At 43.7% G+C, this 23916-nt stretch overlaps 1 protein-coding gene across 1 annotated transcript in view, besides 2 other annotated features; it reads right to left on the bottom strand.

Annotated features, from left to right (window-relative positions):
• Positions 5871-6534: an enhancer, noted in NCBI's record as "NANOG-H3K27ac hESC enhancer chr11:121508303-121508966 (GRCh37/hg19 assembly coordinates)". NCBI's record gives its function as "activates a minimal SCP1, AML or CMV promoter by ChIP-STARR-seq in primed H9 embryonic stem cells {active_cell/tissue: H9 hESC(primed)}" and the evidence as "EXISTENCE:reporter gene assay evidence [ECO:0000049][PMID:30033119]".
• Positions 6535-7200: an enhancer, noted in NCBI's record as "NANOG-H3K27ac hESC enhancer chr11:121507637-121508302 (GRCh37/hg19 assembly coordinates)". NCBI's record gives its function as "activates a minimal SCP1, AML or CMV promoter by ChIP-STARR-seq in primed H9 embryonic stem cells {active_cell/tissue: H9 hESC(primed)}" and the evidence as "EXISTENCE:reporter gene assay evidence [ECO:0000049][PMID:30033119]".
• The window catches only part of SORL1 (sortilin related receptor 1), a 181450-nt gene continuing 167898 nt past the window's right edge, over positions 10365-23916 (bottom strand). Inside the window, exons 44-48 of the mRNA NM_003105.6 lie at positions 22890-23064; positions 21860-21966; positions 18851-19043; positions 16361-16573; positions 10365-14632 (exon numbers count right to left, since the gene is read on the bottom strand). Coding sequence (NP_003096.2) covers positions 14565-14632; positions 16361-16573; positions 18851-19043; positions 21860-21966; positions 22890-23064 — 756 coding nt within the window. The 3' untranslated portion in view covers positions 10365-14564. The remainder of the gene's footprint in view (positions 14633-16360; positions 16574-18850; positions 19044-21859; positions 21967-22889; positions 23065-23916) is intronic.

The raw sequence follows: 23916 nt of genomic DNA, 5'->3' as shown, positions 1-23916 counted from the left end.
AGCAAAACACTGAATAGTAAAAACCTGGTGAGCCAGAGATAACGAGGTGACGGGAATGAATCCTCCTGGGAGCTCCATTAATGTGAAAGATGACTCAAAGCACTTGATTGTAATGATAAGAGAGGGAGACACACAGCTGGCGGTGCAGCAACAACCCCCTGGTGCCACTGGTCTTCCGAGTAAGTCTGTATTAAAACTGCTCACAGGGACAAAGGGGGAAGAAGATCCTGCTCGGCTTCTATCTGAATTCAGATTTGTCTTTATAGTTGGAACTAAGACCTAAGAGAAGTGACAGAGGTCTGGAACACTCAGCTTCTATCTGAATTCAGATTTGTCTTTACAGTTGGAACTAAGACCTAAGAGAAGTGACAGAGGTCTGGAACACTCCCACACACGGACTTAGTCATTGTCACAGCAGAACTGTAACAGATGCCATCACTCATACAGAACAAAGCAATAAAAGGACACATACCAAATGTTAACAGCCATTATCTCTGGGATTACCTGGAAATCTTATTTCCTTCTGGCTGCTTTTAGTTTCCAAAAATGTCTACAATGGATACAAATTGTCAGGCCTCCGAGCTCAAGCTAAGCCATCGCATCCCCAATGACTTGCACATATACACCCAGATGGCCTGAAGTAACTGAAGAATCACAAAAGAAGTGAAAATGCCCTGCCCCGCCTTAACTGATGACATTCCACCACAAAAGAAGTGAAAATGGCCAGTCCTTGCCTTAACTGATGACATTACCTTGTAAAAGTCCTTTTCCTGGCTCATCCTGGCTCAAAAAGCTCCCCCACTGAGCACCTTGCCACCCCCACTCCTGCCCACCAGAGAACAACCCCCCTTTGACTGTAATTTTCCTTTATCTACCCAAATCCTATAAAACGGCCCCACCCTTATCTCCCTTCACTGACTCTCTTTTTGCACTCAGCCCAACTGCACCCAGGTGAAATAAACAGCCTTGTTGCTCACACAAAGCCTGTTTGGTGGTCTCTTCACACAGACGTGAGTGAAATTTGGTGCTGTGACTCGGATCGGGGGACCTCCCTTGGGAGATCAATCCCCTGTCCTCCTGCTCTTTGCTCCATGAAAAAGATCCACCTACAAACTCGGGTCCTCAGACCCACCAGTCCAACGAACACCTCACCAATTTTAAATCAGGTAAGCGGCCTCTTCTTACTCTCTTCTCCAACCTCTCTCACTATCCCTCAACCACTTTCTCCTTTCCACTCTTCAATCTCTCCCTTCTCTTAATTTCAATTCCTTTCATTTTCTGGTAGAGACAAAGGGGACATCTTTTATCCGTGGACCCAAAACTCCGGCGCCGGTCACGGACTGGGAAGGCAGCCTTCCCTTGGTGTTTAATCATTGCAGGGACACCTCTCTGATTTTTATTCACCCACGTTTCAGAGGTGTCAGACCAGGCAGGGACGCCTGCCTTGGTCCTTCACCCTTAGCGGCAAGTCCCGCTTTTCTGGGGGAGGGGCAAGTACCCCAACCTCGTATCTCTGTGCCCCAATCCCTTATTTCCATGCCCCGACCTCTCTCTGTGGCCCAACCTCTTATCTCTGTGCCCCAACCCCTCATTTCCACGCCCCAACCCCTTTCCCGCTTTCCTGGAAGGTAAGAACCCCTGAACCCTTTCCCTCCGTGTCTCTATTCTCTCTTTTCTCTGGGCTTGCCTCCTTCACTATAGGCAACCTTCCACCCTCCATTCCTCCTTCTCCCTTAGCCTGTGTTCTCAAGAACTTAAAACCTCTTCAACTCACACCTGGCCTTAAAACCTTATCTTCTTCTGCAATGCCGCTTGACCCCAATATAAACTCAACAGTGGTTCCAAATAGCCAGAAAATGGCACTTTCAATTTTTCCATCCTACAAGATCTAAATAATTCTTGTCGTAAAATGGGCAAATGGTCTGAGGTGCCTGACGTCCAGGCATTCTTTTATACATTGTTCCCTCCATAGTCTCTGTTCCCAATGCAACTCGTCCCAGATCCTCCTCCTTTCCCTCCCACCTGTCCCCTCAGTCCCAACCCCAAGCGTCACTGAGTCTTCCTAATCTTCCTTTTCTACAGACCCATCTGACCTCTCCCCTCCTCGCCAGGCCGAGCCAGGTCCCAATTCTTCCTCAGTCTCTGCTCAGTCTCTGCTCCCCCACCCTATAATCCTTTTATCACCTCCCCTCCTCACACCCGGTCCAGCTTACAGTTTCGTTCTGCGACTAGCCTTCCCCCACCTGCCCAGCAATTTCCTCCTAAAAAGGTGGCTGGATCTAAAGGCATAGTCAAGGTTAATGCTCCTTTTTCTTTATCTGACCTTTCCCAAATCAGTTAGCGTTTAGGCTCTTTTTCATCAAATATGAAAAACCCAGCCCAGTTCATGGCTCGTTCGGCAGCAACCCTGAGACGCTTTACAGCCCTAGACCCTGAAAGGTCAGAAGGCCGTCTTATTCTCAATATACATTTTATTTTATTACCCAATCTGCTCCCAACATGAAAGAAAGCTCCAAAAATTAAATTCTGGCCCTCAAACCCCACAACAGGACTTAATTAACTTCACCTTCAAGGTGTACAATAAGAGCAGAGGCAGCCAAGTAACAATGTATTTCTGAATTGCAATTCCTTGCCTCCACTGTGAGACAAACCCCAGCCACATCTCCAGCACACAAGAACTCCAAACGCCTGAACCGCAGCTGCCAGGGGTCCCTCCAGAACCTCCTCCCCCAGGAGCTTGCTACAAGTGCCAGAAATCTGGCCACTGGGCCAAGGAATGCCCACAGCCCGGGATTCCTCCTAAGCCGTGTCCCATCTGTGTGGGACCCCACTGAAAATCGGACTGTTCAACTCACCTGACAGCCACTTCCAGGGCCCCTGGAACTTTGGCCCAAGGCTCTCTGACTGACTCCTTCCCACATCTTCTCGGCTTAGCAGCTGAAGACTGACACCGCCTGATCACCTCAGAAGCCTACAGGACCATCACAGATGCTCTAAATAACTCTCACAGTGGAGCGTAAGTCCGTCCCCTTCTTAGTCAATATGGAGGTTACCCACTGCACATTATCTTCTTTTCAAGGGCCTGTTTCCCTTGCCTCCATAACTGTTGTGGGTATTGACGGCCAGGCTTCTAAACCTCTTAAAACTCTGCAACTCTGGTGCCAACTTAGAAAACATTCTTTTATGCGCTCTTTTTTAGTTATCCCCACCTGCCCAGTTCCCTTATTAGGCCAAGACATTTTAACTAAATTATCTGCTTCCCTGACTATTCCTGGATTACAGCTGCATCTCATTGCCGCCCTTCTCCCCATCCCAAAGCCTCCTTTGCGTCTTCCTCTCGTATCCCCCCACCTTAATCCACAAGTATGGGACATCTCTACTCCTTCCCTGGCAACCGATCACATGCCCATTACCATCCCATTAAAACCTAATCACCCTTACCCCGCTCAACGCCAATATCCCATCCCACAGCACGCTTTAAAAGGATTAAAGCCTGTTATCACTCGCCTGCTACAGCATGGGCTTCTAAAAGCTATAAACTCCCCTTACAATTTCCCCATTTCACCTGTCCTAAAACCAGACAAAGCTTACAGGTTAGTTCAAGATCTGTGCCTTATCAACCAAACTGTTTTGCCTATCCACCCCGTGGTGCCAAATCCATATACTCTCCTATCCTCAATACCTCCCTCCACAACCCATTATTCTGTTCTGGATCTCAAACATGCTTTCTTTACTATTCCTTTGCACCCTTCATCCCAGCCTCTCTTCGCTTTCACTTGGACTGACCCTGACACCCATCAGGCTCAGCAAATTACCTGGGCTGTACTGCCACAAAGCATCACAGACAGCCCCCATTACTTCAATCAAGCCCAAATTTCTTCCTCATCTGTTACCTATCTCGGCATAATTCTCATAAAAACACATGTGCTCTCCCTGCTGACCGTGTCCGGCTAATCTCCCAAACCCCAATCCCTTCTACAAAACAACAACTCCTTTCCTTCCTAGGCATGGTTAGCGTGGTCAGAATTCTTACACAAGAGCCAGGACTGCACCCTGTAGCCTTTCTGCCCAAACAACTTGACCTTACTGTTTTAGCCTAGCCCTCATGTCTGCGTGCAGCGGCTACCACTGCTTTAATACGTTTAGAGGCCCTAAAAATCACAAACTATGCTCAACTCACTCTCTACAGTTCTCATAACTTCCAAAATCTATTTTCTTCCTCACACCTGACGCATATACTTTCTGCTCCCCAGCTCCTTCAGCTATACTCACTCTTTGTTGAGTCTCCCACAATTACCATTGTTCCTGGCCCGGACTTCAATCCGGCCTCCCACATTATTCCGGATACCACACCTGACCCTCATGACTGCATCTCTCTGATCCACCTGACTTTCACCCCATTTCCCCACATTTCCTTCTTCCCTGTTTCTCATCCTGATCACACTTGGTTTACTGATGGCAGTTCCACCAGGCCTAATTGCCACTCACCAGCAAAGGCAGGATATGCAATAGTATCTTCCACATCTGTTATTGACGCTACCGCTCTGCCCCCCTCCACTACCTCTCAGCAAGCCGAACCAGCTGCCTTAACTCAGGCCCTCACTCTTGCAAAAAGGCTAGGCATCAATATTTATACTGACTCTAAATATGCCTTTCATATCCTGCACCACCATGCTGTTATATAGGCTGAAGGAGTTTTCCTCACTACACAAGGGTCCTCCATCATTAATGCCTCTTTAATAAAAACTCTGCTCAAGGCCGCTTTACTTCCAAAGGAAGCTGGAGTCATTCACTGCAAAGGCCATCAAAAGGCGTCAGATCCCTTTGCTCTAGGCAACGCTTATGCTGATAAGGTGGCTAGACAAGCAGCTAGCTTTCCACCTTCTGTCCCTCATGGCCAGTTTTTCTCCTTCACGTCAGTCACTCCCACCTACTCCCCCGCTGAAACTTCCACCTATCAATCTCTTCCCACACAAGGCAAATGGTTCTTAGACCAAGGAAAATATCTCCTTCCAGCCTCACAGGCCCATTCTATTCTGTCGTCATTTCATAACCTCTTCCATGTAGGTTACAAGCTGCTAGCCCGTCTCTTAGAACCTCTCATTTCCTTTCCATCACGGAAATCTATCCTCAAGGAAATCACTTCTCAGTGTTCCATTTGCCATTCTACTACCCCTTAGGGATTGTTCAGGCCCCCTCCCTTTCCTACACATAAAGCTTCAGGATTTGCCACCACCCAGGACTGGCAAATTGACTTCACTCACATGCCCGAGTCAGGAAACTAAAATACCTCCTAGTCTAGGTAGACACTTTCATTGGATAGGTTAGAGGCCTTTCCCACAGGGTCTGAGAAGGCCACCACGGTCATTTCTCCCCTTCTGTCAGACATACTTCCTCAGTTTGGCCTTCCCACCTCTATACAGTCCTATAGCAGATCGGCCTTTATTAGTCAAATCAGCCAAGCATTTTTTTCAGGCTCTTAGTATTCAGTGAAAACTTTATATCCCTTACAGTCCTCAGTCTTCAGGAAAAGTAGAACAGACTAATAGTCTTTTAAAAACACACCTCACCAAGCTCAGCTACCAACTTAAAAAGGACTGGACAATACTTTTACCACTTTCCCTTCTCAGAATTCAGGCCTGTCCTCAGAATGCTACAGGGTACAGCCCATTTGAGCTCCTGTATAGACGCTCCTTTTGATTAGGGCCCAGTCTCATTCCAGACATCAGACCAACTTGGACTGTGCTCCAAAAAACTTGTCATCCCTACTGTCTTCTCTCTAGTCATACTCCTATTCACCATTCTCAACTACTCATACATGCCCTGCTCTTGTTTACACTGCCGGTTTACACTGTTTCTCCAAGCCATCACAGCTGATATCTCCTGGTGCTATCCCCAAACTGCCACTCTTAACTCTTAAAGTAAATAAATAATCTTTGCTGACAGGACTATGCTGAATCTCCTTAGGCACTCTCTAATTAGATGTCCTAGGTCCTCCCAATTCTTAGACCTTTAATACCTGTTTTTCTCCTCTTATTCCGTTTAGTTTTTCAATTCATACAAAACCGTATCCAGGCCATCACCAATAATTCTACACGACAACTGTTTCTTCTAACAACCCCACAATATCACCCCTTACCACAAAATCTTCCTTCAGCTTAATCTCTCCCACTCTAGGTTCCCACGCCGCCCCTAATCCCGCTTGAAGCAGCCCTGAGAAACATCGCCCATTCTCTCTCTCCATACCACCCCCAAAAAATTTTCGCCACCCCAACACTTCAACACTATTTTGTTTTATTTTTCTTATTAATATAAGAAGGCAGGGATGTCAGGCCTCTGAGCCCAAGCTAAGCCATCGCATCCTGGATGACTTGCACATATACGCCCAGATGGCCTGAAGTAACTGAAGAATCACAAAAGAAGTGAAAATGCCCTGCCCCGCCTTAACTGATGACATTCCACCACAAAAGAAGTGAAAATGGCCAGTCCTTGCCTTAACTGATGACATTACCTTGTAAAAGTCCTTTTCCTGGCTCATCCTGGCTCAAAAAGCTCCCCCACTGAGCACCTTGCGACCCCCACTCCTGCCCACCAGAGAACAACCCCCCTTTGACTGTAATTTTCCTTTATCTACCCAAATCCTATAAAACGGCCCCACCCTTATCTCCCTTCGCTGACTCTCTTTTCGGACTCAGCCCCCCTGCACCCAGGTGAAATAAACAGCCTTGTTGCTCACACAAAGCCTGTTTGGTGGTCTCTTCACACGGACGCGCATGAAACAAATTCCTTCTATAATCCATCCCCTAACAGAACATTACTGTATTGAAAAAGGTAAACTGGCTGGTTAAAATAAATTCCTAATGTATACACCCAAAACTGTGCTATCAAAAGGGTTGTTTGGAGGGGCTGTGCAGTGAAGTAATTGAAAGCAGTCTGGAGCCAGGTTACCTGGGTTCATATCTCAGCTCTGACACTTAGAAGCTGTTGTGACCTTGGGGAAATTTCTTAACCTTTTCGTGCTTCAATTTCTTTATAATATGAGAATAATAATACCTTCCTTAAAAGGTTGTTGTGAAGATTAAATGAGTTAACATACAAGAAGCCCTCAGAACGGTGTCTGGCAAGTAGCAATTACTTACTACTTATTACGAAATACTATTACTTATTGCTACAGTGTTGCCATTGCTCAAGATATTTTCGGACCACCTTTTGGGAGTCTTGTCATGAGTCTTAAACGCATTCTTTTGAATCACCTCAATGAGAACAAAACTTCTCCTTTGAAAATGTGCTAATTCTTAGGAGCAGTCAAGCAGTTTGGGGTCCAAAATAAGGTGTATTTGTGAAACCAACAGGTTGTTCTCATGTTGTTCATCTGCTGTCTATGAAGAATTCCATCAAACATAGCTGCACACACACACCCAGACAGTTCAGCACCATCCAGGGCTTGATCAATCCCTGGGTAACTAATAAGTTCTGCCTCTGCTAGAGGGAGGTTGAAAAGCAAGTTTTAATTATGAAACCTCTTTGTCTGATAGATCTTGAAGGCTTTACAGATTAGCATATAACCAAAGGGCAAATCTCATAAAAGGCTGATTTATATTTAAATCCTAGTCTTTTTTCTTCCTCAAAGTTTGCTGATGCTGAGTTTTAAGTATGAAATGTCATTGTTTTCAAACAAATATTCCCAAACATTACCAATCGTCATTTTGGCATTAAATAGGGTTGCAACATTACAACTGTAACATTAGCATTTTAAAAAGCATAACATCATTGTTCTGTAAATTGTTGCAGGCTCAAATTACCCCGCACATGATCTCTTAAAATTAATGGGCCACAAGCATCAAAGCCAGTTGGGGCTGGATGAAAAGCATGGGAGCCACCTCCTTTTGCTGGGATTTTTGATGGTCTCATACTAGCCCAATTATCACCCTAATAGAACATGTGATGATGTACCTCACTGCATATGTAAATAAAGGTGAATAAGATATTCACTGAACCTTCCTATCCAAAGATGCAAAGAATTTTGATAAAATGTAACTGGGTTGCTGCAAAACAAAAGAATCCTCCACGTTCCTAATTATTGAACTCTTTGCAAAAACATTTTCCAATAAAAAAGGCTGCATTGATCTACCATCCGTAAGTAATACTGTGTTCCATATAAATGGCTGTGCAAAGAAATCTAAGTATACTTCTTTATGTCTCCAAACGTTGTTTTTAATCTTTCTAGTGGGAATCCTTGAAATATCACTATTACAGATTCTTAATATTGTACTGACAGGGCTAAATAGCATGACAACTAAGAGCAGGAGTTTAAGGATGCAATAAATCTAGGTTATTTTGACTCTTCCACTTTAATTCATGTGAGACCTTGGAGAAGTTACTCTTCTTTTAAAGCAACATCTTGTTTCTTTTAAAGGAAAGATTAATACCTAAATCCTAAATCACAGAAGCACTTTTAGAATTAAAATATGTATATATATATTTATTTATATTCATAGATTATATAAATATATAAAAATATATTTAATACATTTAATATTTTAATTCTAAAAGCGCTTCTGTGATTTAGGTATTAATCTTTCCTTTAAAAGAAAAAAGATGTTTTTATATCTATAACAAGATATATAATCTTTCCTATAAAAGAAAAAAGATGTTGTTTTTTATATATATATAGAGAGAGAGAGAGAGTTTAGCATAGTTACTACCAAAGAACAGGGGTTCAACGGAAGGGAATGATAATTATTCTAATTGGATGGGCTACTTACTGTGTAGGACTCTGGTTTTATGCCAAATATTCCCAATAAGTATATTTGCTGGAGTTCCTTTATCTCTCACATAGGTTTTCCAGCAGTCTAACTCTAACTCGTGGCTTCTCTTCTATTGTCCTCGGAGTAGCTGCCCTTAGCAGCCCCAACCCATGTTCAATTTGCTATGGGCTGGGGAACCCAATAATCATAGCTGACGGATGTAGTCAGAATCTGGCTCTTAGCCAGGAAGATTCGATTCAAACTCAGTCCAAATGCATTAATTTTGCTATAGAATGTTTTCGTGAGTGGGAGAGTTTACTCAACAACAGGACATGTAGAGATGAGTCAGAGTGACCGATGTGGGAGTGCCCAAGCCCTGTCCAGGGGAACCACAGTGCATGGACTTAAAGTATTAGATCCTATTGGCAAGATCTTTTTAACTAGAAATGGATCCAGGGTGTTGCAATCTGACGGCTTCAAATACTAAGTTTATATGGAGTAGATTATTCCTGTTGTGGAGTGTCAAGTCTTTGTTCATTCATTCAGTATTTATTGGGCAACCACTATGCTAACCCAGATCCCTCCTACTTTTAAAACTCTTTGCCCCTGCTCTCCAAGCAACCTTCTGGTGGTGACTGGCTCCTGGGGTAGATCTCCCTACAGGGAGAGAATGCACTGGTCATGCAGACATTGTAAGGGACAGGACACTTTCCCAGGGTGAATTAACAAATGGACATTATGACGTTGCATATCAACATCCTGAGTTTGGTTAAGGTGTGTTTGGCCATGAGAGATGAATTCACTATCATGTGTTGACAAAAATTATCTAAGCCTGAAAACCTAAGGATGAGGCCATGACCAAGGAGGCTCACCCAGGTGGTAGGTCTCCCCTTGGGATTTCGCTTGGTGCAATGTGTTGGACTAATGTGTTCTTTGTGATACTGAATGGTGACATGAGGCGCTGTGGCGTCGTGATTCAGAAGAGGATCTGGGATCAGAAACACCTGGGATGGGAGGCTGGTTTTGCCTTTTATGCTCTGGTTTCTCCTAAATTACTTCACTTTTCTATGCCTCCTTTTCTTCATTCACAAAACCAGATGATAATACTTCAGGGTTTGGCTCTGGCTCAGTGTCTAAACAAAAGCAGCATACCAGAAGACCTGTTAAATTCTTAAAAACCTGCCTCCCTCCCCCACCCAGTTCCACAGCCTCCAATCCTGACTTACAGGCCCATGGCCATTCAGCTGCCCATAATAGGTACACGCAGCACTCCTCACAAGACTGTCTATGGAAACCCATAGAAGTGCTCTTAGACACACAGCTCATCTATACTGCTGTGCTTCCGTCTCTTAGATTTGAAAATTGCCTTCTTAGCAAACTGTCTCTTAGCAAATGTAGTTACAAATTTAAGGGAGCCACTTTAGTCATTGTCCCTACGGAATAATTCTGTTTACTTCAAAACAGCCAGCACATCTTCCCCCTCCTCAACCAACACAAAGACATCGTGTTCTTCAAGGATCCACCATCTGAGACCAGCTTGTTAATAACAAAATTATTCCAGGCCTTGGTGTTCTCTCATCTATGAAATAAACATCCGTTTAAAACAGACCAATCAAATGGGGTTTGGAGACTGCGTCAGCCATCTTTATTGCGCTCTAAAGAACAGCTCGAGACACACAGAGACAGTGGATTTTCAAAGAGGTGTTTTCTTGACCCAGTTAAATTTTTATTCAGTGAAAAAAGTTGACATTGAGACAAAAATTATCTTAAAGTTGTGCAACAATACAGTAAAACCTTCAGCAGATTTCAGTGACTTGGAAACTTATCGAGGCAATTGAAATTATAAATACTTAATTTCGCTTTGGAGAGAAACAAGTATACAGTGTTTCACTTTAAATAAGAGTAGAATAGGCCTTTATTTTGCCGCAAATACTTTTGATTTTGCCTAAAGTTTCTAATAGTTCATAACAAGAGTCTTTAAATGAGAAGTGACATAGAATATTTGAGGATAATGGTCCACTCCAGCATTCATGCTTATTCCATTTGAGCTATTACACATGAAACTCATACCATTCTTGGGTTATTACTTGGCTGTGACGATTTAATTCATAATATGGCTGCTCAAAATTAGTGGGCAGAAACATACATACAACCCATCCTCCCTCAACCCATTTTCGGTGCTGGTACTCCATCTGAAAACACACTTACTGTCCATGTACCCAGCAGTACATATCTCTTCCTATCTATTCCATATCTCAGTCTTGCATAGAAAGTAGTCTATATAAACTTAATGCACTGGCTTTTATTACACAAAAATTGTACCTGAAAGGCAGCACACACTCCAGTTAAGAAAAATAACACAACAGGAATGTCAAGATACAATCCCAACACAAGATTCTGCACAGAGTTTTAGAGTCAATTCCTAAAATCAATATGGGATGATATTCAGTTTAGTTATGTCTCTGGATGCCTTCTCTAAGGGACTCATCCAACTGTCTGCAGAAGGAAGAAAATTTTCAGGAATTCCCCATGACTCCCTTCATGAAGAAGGGACTGACCAAACCTGATAGGATGGTGTTTCTGCCCTAAGGAAGTGTACTGGAAATATAATCTTACTAGATGCAGTGACCACTTGGTAAGCATCTGAAGGCAGCATTCGCCAAGAAGGAGTAGGCGCTCATCTCTAAGGGGCTCACCATACTATTGCTCTCCCAAGCTTCCCCTGAAAATGGCCAGTTCTGAGAAGGGTTACATTCCCTAAATTGCTGAGTACAGCTTCATCTAGTGGGCCAAACATGATGGGCAGGAGAGAACAGGCAGCTGTGTGTCTTCTGTCTGTCCCACCCAAATATCCCTGGTGATGCTACCAAAGACAGAACCCCAGGAATTACTTGTCCAAAAGTCAGAGTTTCAACCAGTTACCCAGAATGATAACTATTTACCCAGCTTGTCAAGGTAGCCAGTAGTTCCTGGAGCTTCTCACCTGTCTGGAACTAGGACTGCACAGACATGGCCTCTTCCTGGAATCCTCTGTAGAACTCCACTCTCTAACATTTTATCCATGTGGACTCGTATCTCATAAAGCTCAAGGGGCATTCAATACATCCAGGAGTAAAATCGGTTTCCAGAGAAAACTCATAAGCAAACCCCCTGCCCACCAATTTTTAGAGGCCCATCGTGGTCCACATGGATGCAAGCATCTGACATTCTAATGTATGCCAGGAGAGAATAAAACCTTTTTCCTGCACAGTGTGAACTTCTGAGGTGGCATCTCCAACAAGGTACAAAAGCCCCTTCTTCACAAGCAAGCAGGGACTCCGATTGGTCACAGTGAAGACAGTTATGTGGTCACCTTCAGAGGCTGCCTGTAGTACAAGGCATTTGTTTTCATTTTCTATTGGCACTCCAACCTCTGGATTCTTTCAGACAGCATATATACATGAAATCCCCACAAAGCTACACAGAGGGAAACAGGAGTGTGTGCTTCAAAAGTTCATAAAAATATACAATTTACATATAGCTGCAGCTATCTAGCTTAGTCTTCAGGAACTTAGCTCTTCTGTTTATATAAAATACTCTAGCCCTAAAAGGCTGCTTTTTTTCAAACAGCACAGTGGCATTTTCCAAGGAGAGGGGTGATGGCCAGTCTACAGTACTGTGCACTAAGCATTGGGAGGCACTGGTAGCTAGAACCGGATGCTCGGAAATATCTCAAGCTGCCAACTGGAGACATATGCTCTGTAAAAAGGCTTGCCTATGGAATAACTGAAAATAACATCTCAGAGCCTTTTATATCAGCTTTTACAAATGCCACCAAAAAGTTGGCAGAAAAAGAAAAGAAAATACACTTCCTAGTGGTTCAATTAAATGACTTGCCTCCCACCAGGTTGTTAATGATTCAACTATTTAAAGAGCTTATTAAAGGGGAGGTGGTAGGGCTTAGAGTTTTGAACAAATCTCTACGGTAAGACAAGATAAAGCCAAAAAAAATTCCAGTCTTTAAAAAAAAAAACTTAGGAAAGTGACAGGAAAGAAGAGAAAATACGCTAGAAGAAGGCTTATCATTACCACCAGTTGTTAACATGAAATACAGTCCTACCCGTATGGCAAACTAAAGGTCGACAGCTTAAAATACTCATCTAAGTATACATATAAATAAAAATTTCAAAAACTAAAAAATTTAATTGGCTCTTTCTTTGTTTTCTAAACAATCCCTAAGTAGAATGAAACTATATTATCACCCAAGAATGATACTTGTGGTTAAAAGAAACTAAACACTTGTGAGAAGGTGATGCCTCGCACCTAAGCGGGGATGGGGTTTTACAAAGCTTGCACGTCAAGGACACATATTCAGAGACATGACTTTGGAATATTCCCAGACCTCACTGCTTCTTGGCTGAAAGGAAATTCTTCAGTGAGAATCATACAGCACAAGTCACAACGATGCTCGACATTGGTGCCCACAACACTAAGCCTAAATAAAGGGCTTGCATCAGCCCACGATGGATTCTACATAAGTATCAAGTGGCCATGGTTTGAATACACGGGTGGCATTTTAAAGGCAGAAGAAAAAAAGCACAGCTTGTTTTACAGAGAGAATAAATGAACAAACTCTAGTGCTCCTGCTGTTGTTAACTGGATTGAGTAGTCTCAACTTTTTAGATCTTCTCTATCTCTATGAGAATGTACAGCACTGTCTCTTTAGATTGGGTGGGGGCATGGGTGAGGGAGATGGAAGAAGAGGAGAAAAAAAAAGAGAAGGCACTGTCCAATTCAAAATGACTGCATATATCAGTATGGATTTTTAAGGACAATAAGTGGCCATCTCAAACCAAATACATAATTTTACATCTGAGATCCTTCAGTAGTAAGTAAAAACAAAAAATGGAAAATGGAAAAATTATGTACTCTATTAGCCAGTGTATGGATCATGGCACAGATCTAGAACTCTCCCCCACAACCAGGGTAAGTTTTTGCAATGACAATGAAACCAGTGTGTAATAAAGCAGTGTTATCATTTTGTAGCTCTCAAAGCTACATCTTGTACAGAGGCACATACAGTAAAATTCCATCAATTAATATAAGAGAGGAAGCTGTGGGCTTACAGGGCTTCCCAAGCTGCAGCTCTGTTGAACTGAACTCCAGCAATGACTCAGTGCTCTCTCCTGCCAAAGACCATTACATGACACACAAGTGAATAAAAATGGATTGCTTCCGGAATGGCAAAAAAATATGCTTCTCTTCCCACCCCCAACCCTATGGGTAAGGGGCTCATAACACATGTGGTGTCTAATGACCACTAAAGCCTGGCCTTACACAGAGTCCCAATAAATTAACAAAATAACATAAAGAAACCTTCCGCCATAATACATCCACACACTTTCCTATAAACTATATCCAAACAAAATGGAATATCTGTACACACTTTCAAGGAGAAGGGGTTCCACCCATCACTCTCTCGAGGTTTTTATTAAATACATTTCTGTGTCTTAGAAAAATAAAAAGATTGGCCAATTTACTGAACCGAAATTATCTCACAGACGTAAAAGCATGCCCAGCAAGCACAGCCCTGTAAGACTACATTAATGTCAAATCAAAGCAATTGGGTTACTAAAATCAACCTGGTTTGAAGTTCACAGTTGATTACTACAAAGTTTATTCATTCCTTTCTTTCCTTTTTTTTTTTTTTGTTTTTTGTTTTTGGCCCATATAAAAATAACATATTGCAACTCAAAGTGCATCTTTTAAAATAAACCATCAACTATCTTTATCAAATAAAATATTTACACCATTTGGTTTCTAGTGAGGAAAGCTCTTTCAGGCTATCACCATGGGGACGTCATCTGAAAATCCAGTTATCATAGGGGCATCTTCATCATCTTCCCCTAGAGACAAAACAGTCAGGCCTTGGTGAGTTCCAACACATTTTCACCTGACCCCATATCCCACCACTCTACCCACCCCTCAACCCTACCACAACCCTCTAGCTGAGAAGGTCAATGCCATAGCCAGGCAGCCACCATAATCAGCTGTGAAACCTAGCCCAGCTTCCCACTGTCCCTCCTGGCCACCTTCTACCCATCGATGGATCCTCACATTTATTTTAGTGGTCGTTTGAACGTAGCCAAATTAGGAAAACAAAGCTTCTCAGGAGAAGACTCTTATTACCTACTCAAAAGCTAAGTGGGTAGTTTGGGTTCCCCAGTTTGAGTTATCTATACCCTACACTAGCACAGTGAACTTCAGTGTCTGCTTTCTCTTCTGAACCCAAAGTGCTCTGAGGAAAAGGATCTGGGAGGAGTTTAAGCATTTTGAGGACAGCTTCCCAGACTAACAGCTGTCCCCTTGTGACGCCCGGTATAATCCTGTGTCACCAAGTGTGGACCGACACTCAGTGACTATCGCAGGGTATGCTGATGGGTCCACTCCTGTTGCCTCCAACGGCAGAAGCAAAGAAGCCGCCCCATTCACACAAGGCAGTCCAGGTGCCGGCTTATTAGGCAAGAAAGGAAACTGACAAGGAAAGGGAACAGAGCTAACATCATATGATCAGTGAAGGGGAATATACAAATGTCTTTATAAACATAGATATATAATTGTAACTAGTTAACGGAAAGAAATAAACTTGTACATTCACAGTGATTAGTCTAAGTTTGGGGAAGCCTCGTAACACACCCACTTTATTATATTACTATCTTACTATCTCTATTAGCATTTAGGGTTTTCATTGTGCAAAGATTTCAAAACGGGAAACTTCTTACTTTTTCCCTTGCTATGTGTTAAGACAGGGATCCCCAATGCCCGGGCCGAGGGCCATCAGTACCAGTACATGGCCTGTTAGGAATGGGGGGCCGCACAGCAGGCTGTGAGTGGTGAGTCAGAGCATTACAGCCTGAGCCTCGCCTCCTGTCAGATCAGGGCAGCATTAGATTCTCACAGGAGCACAAACCCTATCGTGAACTGAGCGTGCAAGGGATCCAGACTGAGCGCTCCCTATGAGAATCTAATGCCTGCTGATCTGAGGTGGAACAGTCTCATCCTGAAATCATCCCCCAACCCTTCCCCCTCCACCGCTGGTCCAGTGAAAAAAGAATTATCTTCCACAAAACTGGTCCCTGGTGCAAAAAAGGTTGGGGACCACTGTGTTAAGGTACATAAAAGAATGGCTGGTGAGGTTACACTAGCAACCAGAAAGAGAAACAGCAAGATGGAAAGGGTCTCCTTTGATAGAAGCTGATTGGGAAAGCATTATTTTTTATCTTGAGTTAGGATCTCCAGAGATGTCAGACCTCCAGCTCAGTGAAGGATGAGACAGGGGTCAGATATTCTTGAGGATTTTCCGATACTTTGGGAGTCTCAAGGCCTGGGGCAAGCTCCCTGTTTCAGGCCAGAACTACACAATCAAAGAGAATACAACATTTTAATTTAACTTAAAAGTTAAAAAGTGAGGGCTCTGAATGGTTTAACCAAAACTCATGGAATCAAATCGCTGGCTGATGAAGAGCTCCTCCAGGGTCAAAAGAGGAGCTGAAGGTGGGTGTTTCCTAATCAAGTCATTGGCTGCGTGGGGGTCAGCCCTGGGAGGAAGAACCGACTCTCCCTGCCCCACTTACCCAGGTCATCCCCAGAGGAGAAGATTGCGGACCCCAGCCTGGAGCTGTAGTGGCTGTTGGCGAAGGCGGTGAAGCTGCTCTGCAGCCTCCGGTGCTTCGTGTACAGGATGGCAAACCCCACCCCCAGGCTCAGCAGTATCAGGAATAAGATGGGCACCACCACAGCAGCAACATCCGTAGATCTGGCAGCCTGCGTTGCAGATGCATCTGCACCTGCCAAGGCAAAGTTCCCACCAATAAGCCCACCTGAGGGCAGGAGAACAGACCAGATGACTCCTCAAGGCCCCACCCACCAAAAAAAGCTGGGCGATAGCCACAGCTACACAAACTGCCTGTCTGGTGTGAGACGTTTCTGCATGTGCGTGATGCCTGATTGCTTCCCCACTACTTGCCATGAGCTGATAGACCAAGGGCCTTGTGCATGCAAATATGGTAATTACATTAGACTCCTAATCACTGCCTTGTTGGTTATTTAGATAATCTCTTGGAAGGGAGACCTTTGTTGGGGTATCAACATTGATTTCATTAGCATTATTACTTAAGACCACTTGCTTGCCTTACATAAGAGGATGTGAAATCAGACCACTAATTAACGAGATTGCAATTATTTCCCCCTACTTGGCACCAAAGTCACTCTGAACTGCAATTACCTGAAGCTCCATTAAGTGATACAAACGAGATTCCTACACCACAATACAGACTTAACAGCTCATGAAGTTTTATGAGGTTTTTCACTTAAGTGAAAAAGAGAGTGAGGGAGAAAAACAACTTTCCATATACATTTAACATTTTTTAAAGTTATTTGCAAAGCCGTTTCGGCATTTATAACCTAACAAACATGGCCCCTTCCTATTGACTTAAACAAACAGGCTCTGTGATGATTCACTAATAGATTTGTACCACCAGGGCTCTAGGGCAAAGCCATGCCCCACGTCCCATCCTGCTGGGGTAGGGGCCAGTCTCCTTGAAAACGGTAGACTTTTCATGTTAAAAATCCCAGGGTAAGTCTGAACTTGAAAATGAAACCTAGGAATCAGTTTTTGGCAAAGGAAACAGACTGGACTTCCCTCAGTCTAGGTCTCCATGAGGAGCCTCAACAGGCTCAGGGTTGCTCCCTGGTGTCGGGAGAGGTGGCGCAGGCCAGGTCTCTGCTTCACTAGAAAGCTCTGTCACTCCCCAGGCATTCACCCTGACAGGGTATTCATCAAGATGGGCCAGAGAACAATTGTTTCTTGCAAACCTAATCTAACAATTCAATATTCGTGTCTGTATTTACATTTCTTTCATTATTTCCTTGCCAGAAAAAAAAAAAAACTCTAGCAACATCTTATTTAATATGTTCCAACCTATTCCAACTGTGCAGTGGTTAATGAAGGGGGTGTGTGCGGCTGGAGCAGTGAAGAGGAAGTCGGCACAATGAAGGCTGGGAGCTCCAGGAAGGAGTGCCCTCCCTCCCCCACCCCACTTCCAAGGGGAAGGTGAACGTGAAGGGGCAAGATGTTGGCCAAGAGCCCTTCTGCCTGACAACCTTGGTTCCATAAAGGTGGCCGGGAGGGGTCTGCACAGGAATTTTTCCCAAAGCATATTTCACAGGTTGCCAATTAGTTTTGCCTAAAAATGGGGCTCTGTTGAGGAAATACTAGGTCAACAAGAGTTGGGCTGGTTTTTGTAGGACCTTCTTAGAACCTCTAATATGTTAAGATTCTCCCAAGGGAAGTGGCAGGCAGTGTTTCCCTCTCTTAGTGGGGGGTGCCAAGGATAAATATTGCACAAGATCTCACCCTGAGAAACACTATGAGACGGAACATTTAACAACTCTAACACAAGATTTTGGCTTGAGCACTGGTTAGTTCTTGGCTGAGAGTAAATGGAACTAAAAAAGACCAGTGGCAAAACATTTGTTGAAATCCTGGCCAAACTACTATAATGTAAGCAGACTTTCTGTATGAACGGAAGGGTCCTCTCTTCCATCACTAGCATGGCCCAGCATAAGACATAAGACAGAGATCCCAGGACAAATTCCAGTCCTAAGCTTATGCTGAGAGCTAAGATGAAGCCGGGGCGGGGCAGAGGTGTGCACTGTAAAATCAGTTATATGATTTTACATGTAAAATCCATGACAAGGAGATGATCTACTGGCTTGGAGATCCACAGGATATATTAGCATGTTAGAGGTGCTGAGAAGTCCCACAAAAAACAAATGAAACTCTTGTGAACCTAGAGTTTCCCTTTTTAAACAAAGCCTTGCCTTTCTTGCACTTTATGTTCAGAATCCGGTCCCCCTGTAATCTCAGCTTCCTGTACCATGTTCAGCTCAGGAAGTATTTGTTAAATACATCACTACCTGACCAAACTGATATATAAATGATTTTCTTTTAAGCTGAGAATATCTTCCATGTGTTTTAGAAAGACACATGGTCATGAAACCATATGACATTCTTGCTATTTCCCTAGAACTGAAGACAGAAACGGGCAGCAATCGCAACTCACCAGACCCCAGCTCATCGTACAGCAGGATGGCAGGCTCCCCACAGATCTGGTTGCCAAAAAGGCATCTTGCTTGGACGGTGAACGTGTAATTATGACCCATCTTCAGGTTGGAAATTTTAAAGAAATTGTCAGTAGTATTCCCAAGGTAAGCTGTGATATTCATGGCACTATCAAACATGTGTATCTCATAGCCCTGAAAACAAACACAAGAGATTGCTCAGGAAGTCGAATATGGAAACTGACAGCCTCTATTACTGGTTCCATCTTTATGTGAGCTCCTCACTGTGGGCTGCTACAGACGCGAAAGCGCCCTGGGTTTCTCCTTGTTCTTTTTACATTACCACTGAGATACTGGATTCAGAAAATGAAAATTTTTCTCATCTCCAATATCTCAAATAACTGCCACACCACCCCCCCACAACAAGCTATATCGTGGAAATGAAAACTGTGGCCCTCAGGAAAGTCATTTTACCAAAGCCACACTCAGAGATTTGCTCAGCAGTCTGCCTGTCTCAAGCAATATTAAATGCCACCAAGAATCTGAACAGTTTGCCATAATGGAATTTGACTAATAATAAATCCAGGTCGCAGTGGACTCCAGCAATGGGGTGAGAAAGGAGAACTTGCAATTAGAAAAGACAAGACATTTGTCCCCAGAACAATATGTAGGAATGACCTTGTCGGCTCACTTCCTGTCTCCCTGCTCTCTAGCTCCTTCTGAGCCGATCTCAGCCCCCCAACAACCTGGCCTTGAAATCAGAAGCACTGAAGCCAGCTCAGGCCCCTGTTCACTGGAGGAGAGGATGAAATGTCTTCCTAGTTACAGCCCTGGACTCTGGTGCTGGAAAAAGCCATCCTGGGGACAGCCCTGGCCCAGGATACTAGCTGGGATGAGGGCTGACAACCTGACTTCTCTGCTGATCCCCAACTATTCCAGTGTCAAAGCTACTGACACTCTCCACCATCCCCCTGAAAAGACTCCATCACTTTTCTCTAGCCACATATTGGGCCCCCTTGCATAATCACAGTCTCTTGATCCCAATACCACTGACCCATCTATTCTTGATGTGGTTTGGCTGTGTCCCCACCCAAATCTCATCTTGAATTCTAGCTCCTATAATTCTCCTGTGCTGTGGGAGGGACCCGGTGAGAGATCACTGGATCATGGGTGCGGCTTCCCCTATACTGTTCTCATGGTAGTGAATAGTCTCACAAGATCTGATGGTTTTATAAGAAGTTTCCCCTTTCACTTGGCTCTCATTCTCTCTTTGTCTGCCGCCATGTAAGATGTGGCTTTGCTCCTCTTTGCCTTCCACCATGATGGAGAGGCCTCCGCAGCCATGTGGAACTGTGAGTCAATTAAACCTCCTTCCTTTATAAATTACCCAGGCTTGGGTATGTCTTTATTGGCACTGTGGAAACGGACTAATACAATTCTTTGAACTCCTTGTCAGGGGAAGGGAAGAAGGACATGCTATGCCTATGCCAGACCCTCCACTAGGAACGAAATACTAACCTAGAATCTTAACCTAAGAGCCGGGCTCCAGCCACCCAGGAAGGATCCCCTAATGGCGACTGGCTGCCGAACTGGGATTCCCAATACCTGCCTGGAATCTCATCCCCGCATTCTTTCCTATAAGCCAGCAGTTATTACCTTCCACCTAATAGATATCTGGTGTCGATCATTTGTAAAATACACAAAGGTTATAAAGAAAATAATTGAGATTACACAACATCAACCACCCATACGTTATTTAACCCATCCTCTTCTGTTCGGCATCTCGGCTGTTTCCTCTTTCTTGCTGTCATAAATACTACACACAAATTCTTCATGCACGTTGCTGCTTTAGAGTAAAATCCTACAACTGCTGGATCAATGGGTGTGAACACTTTCAACGTTTTTGATAGGTATTACCCAAGAACCTTACTTGAGTTTGAACCAATTCATATTCCCAGAACGTTTACTTCCCCAACTACTATTCATACCAGTTATACTCTTCCCTGCAAATCTTTACCAATTTAACATGAGAGGGTTACCTCTTTGTTATTTAGATTACCGGTGAGGTTGAACTTTTCTCCTTTTGCTTACTGCTGCTGGAATTTTCCGCTTTGTTACATGTCCCTTCTTCAAAATTAGAATATTTCCATTTTGAACTTACTTGAAAGCTTTCCTTCTATTTAAGGATATTAGCCATTTAGATGTCATAGTTACAAGAGTTATGAGAATTCTCACAGAGTGTGTGGTGAGAATTTTCCAATTTTAATTTCACTTTGCTTTGGTATTGCACGGTGACTATTTAGAACCCATGGCTCTTTGCCTATGCTGCATCTCCAGGTAGCCATAGTTGATTCATCACATTCCTATTTAGCAAAGGCTTTGCTGTCTCTGGGGCCAACCCAGCTTTACTCAAGAATCTGTCCACCCTTGGGTGGTAAATCTACTCCCAGGTCTCACTCCTCTTCCCCTGTCTTTTGCTGTGAATACCATATTGGCCTACCAATAGCAAAACCAAACAAAATCAAGGTGTTCTTCATAAGTTAGCACAGTATCTTCAAGTGCCTCCTGCTCCCTGTAATTTATCTGGGAAGAGAGTGCTGAGATGCCAGGCTGAGAGTGCAGCTCAACTCCTGGTACTGAAGCCACAGTCCCACCCTCAGCGAGTGTGGAATAGGCTCCTGGTTTAACACCCTGAGCCCCAGCCCAGCTGCAGCTTCTGCGGGAAGCACAGCATGGCCTCCAGCCCATTTGTCTTTCTTCAGGGGAAGACAAGTCAGGATTGAAAAGTGCTTAGTGCAGAGATTCTCATCTTTAACGGGCAGTATAAGCATTTCGCTAATTAGCAATCCCACTGAAAATGGTCCTTTAATTCTCAAGTTCATGTCCATGTCCTATTCTTTTTCTTTCTTTTTTTTTACACTATCTATGCCAGCATGCTGTCAACAAGCTCATCTCTGAAACAGCATTTCAATTAAATTTCCAAAGTCATTGAGAATGAGGGAGGAACTTACCCTGCTTTCATTAAAATGCTTTTCCTTTAAAGCCAGGCTTTTCCAAAACAGAAGAACATGATCATTTTCTGTTATGATTTTTAAGGCATCAGGTGCTGATAATGAAACTGAAAATTAAAGATGAGATGGGATGCGGTTAGTGGATATACATTTGAAACTCTATTTTCTTGTCTATCAAAGAGAGATTAAATAATGCTAGCCTTGGAGGGCTGGGTTACAGAAAAAATAAAACACATAGATTGCTGAGTACAGAACCTAGCACATGGTAGATATTCTTTATTGGCATCTCTTTTATTGTTGTTATAACATCTTTAGCCAAGAAATTTGGACAGTACTTAATAGCCCTTGTAACCAAGTGTGTACAAAAACAAATGGGGTTGGGTAGAAGGGTGGTGAGGAAGGAATGGGATGGGATAAGGAGTTCCATCTGAAGACAGGACACTGGAGTGACAATGGCACATGGCCCAGGCCCACTGCACGCCACCAGCATAAATGGGGCTGGGCCTCCATTACCCAATATCAAAACTCCCAATAATACCTGCTGCTGTCTGAGCAACGGAGCTTACTACCAGCTCTCTGAACTTGAGCCTGACTGCCCTTTGATCTACTGCCCAGCTGTGGGTCTCCCTCCATTTCAACATGTCAGATTGCCACAATGGACCACTGAGAACCTGTCATCCAGATTCTCAGATACAGCACTTGGTCTTAGTGGCAACTATTCAGTTTTATTTCCTCTCTTGGGCATCCCTCCTCTTTTCCTTTAGTAATATCAAAACCAGCGAGGGGAGTTAAAAAGACTTAGAAAATAAAGAAAACGATAGCCACTCCCCAGCCCACTGTGCCCTGGCCACCACGCCACGGCTCAGACCCTGGAGCCTCTGCACTACTCTGCCCCTGTAGGAATATTGAAGGGCAGCGTTTGCACTCCCTGTGAAACAAACGCCTAATGAAAAGTCTGTCTCTGGAGGTCTAGCGGCACAGCACTGAGGGCAGGCTGTGTGAGAAGACCTCTAACCTCTCTCCTGCTTACCTGTGGTAATTTTTATGCTGGAATCTTTGCTCATGTTCCCCAGTTGGACAATGATGTGGTATTTCCCGCCAGGCTCCAACTTGTTAAGGGTGTATTCCACAGTGCTGTTACGGGATTTTACTTTGTAGCTCCTGTCAGTCTTTCTTATGAGATCTTTGACTGCAACTGCATACAACTAGGACCAAAAAAGAACAAGTGAATGATAATCAGAAAGTTGACATTTTTCACTCTTTGTAGTTCAATGGTGGACAATGTAGTATATTAATAGCTGGGACCCACAGCAACAAGAGTTTGAGTCCCGAAATCTGACTCCATTCTTTGGAAGGCCTTTGGAGTGACCAGATCCAATCTTAAAATAACTATTCACTCATAGAATTGCACATAGAGTTATCAACTAAAATTTTTTTAACCCTCTAGGGAGGGCCACATTTATCGTGACATCAGCAGGTAGGTTGGAACAAGCAAGCACATCCAAACTCAGTACTCAACTTCCACATCTCCACCACTGCAATAGTTCATGGATGTTGTTGGTGGAGAGAGAATGAACCAAAGTGTTCAATCCTGGCTCTAAAGGGCAAGGCTCTACTTACTTTCTCCCAGGCTGCTTCTGGGTATAGGGGGGCAAGGGGAAAATAACAGGGCATATAGTAAGCACAGGAAATTCAATCATGACAAGGAAGTGGAGAGTTGAGAGGAGTATTAGCAACCAAGCATTTTAAACCAACCACCGCTGGATGAAGGGGAGTGGAGAGAGGAGAGAGGGAAGAGCAACCCAGAGCAAGGAAAAAATGGCAGTTTTTTTGTTTTGTTTAGGATCAATGCTCCTTTTAAAGAGGGGTCAGAAACTTTTTGTAAGGGTCCACACACAGTAATACTGTAGGTGTTGAGGGCCAGATAGTCTCCACCACAACAACTCTGCTGATCATTGCATGAAAGTGGTCAGATATAATATATAAACAAATAGGCATGACTTGGTTCCAATAAAACTTTATTTTAAAAAAATAGGCAATGGGCTGTGTTTGGCCTG

Source organism: Homo sapiens, chromosome 11 (genome assembly GCF_000001405.40).
Source record: "Homo sapiens chromosome 11, GRCh38.p14 Primary Assembly".
Classification (NCBI taxonomy): domain Eukaryota; kingdom Metazoa; phylum Chordata; class Mammalia; order Primates; family Hominidae; genus Homo; species Homo sapiens.
This window is presented reverse-complemented; position numbering and strand designations above follow the sequence as displayed.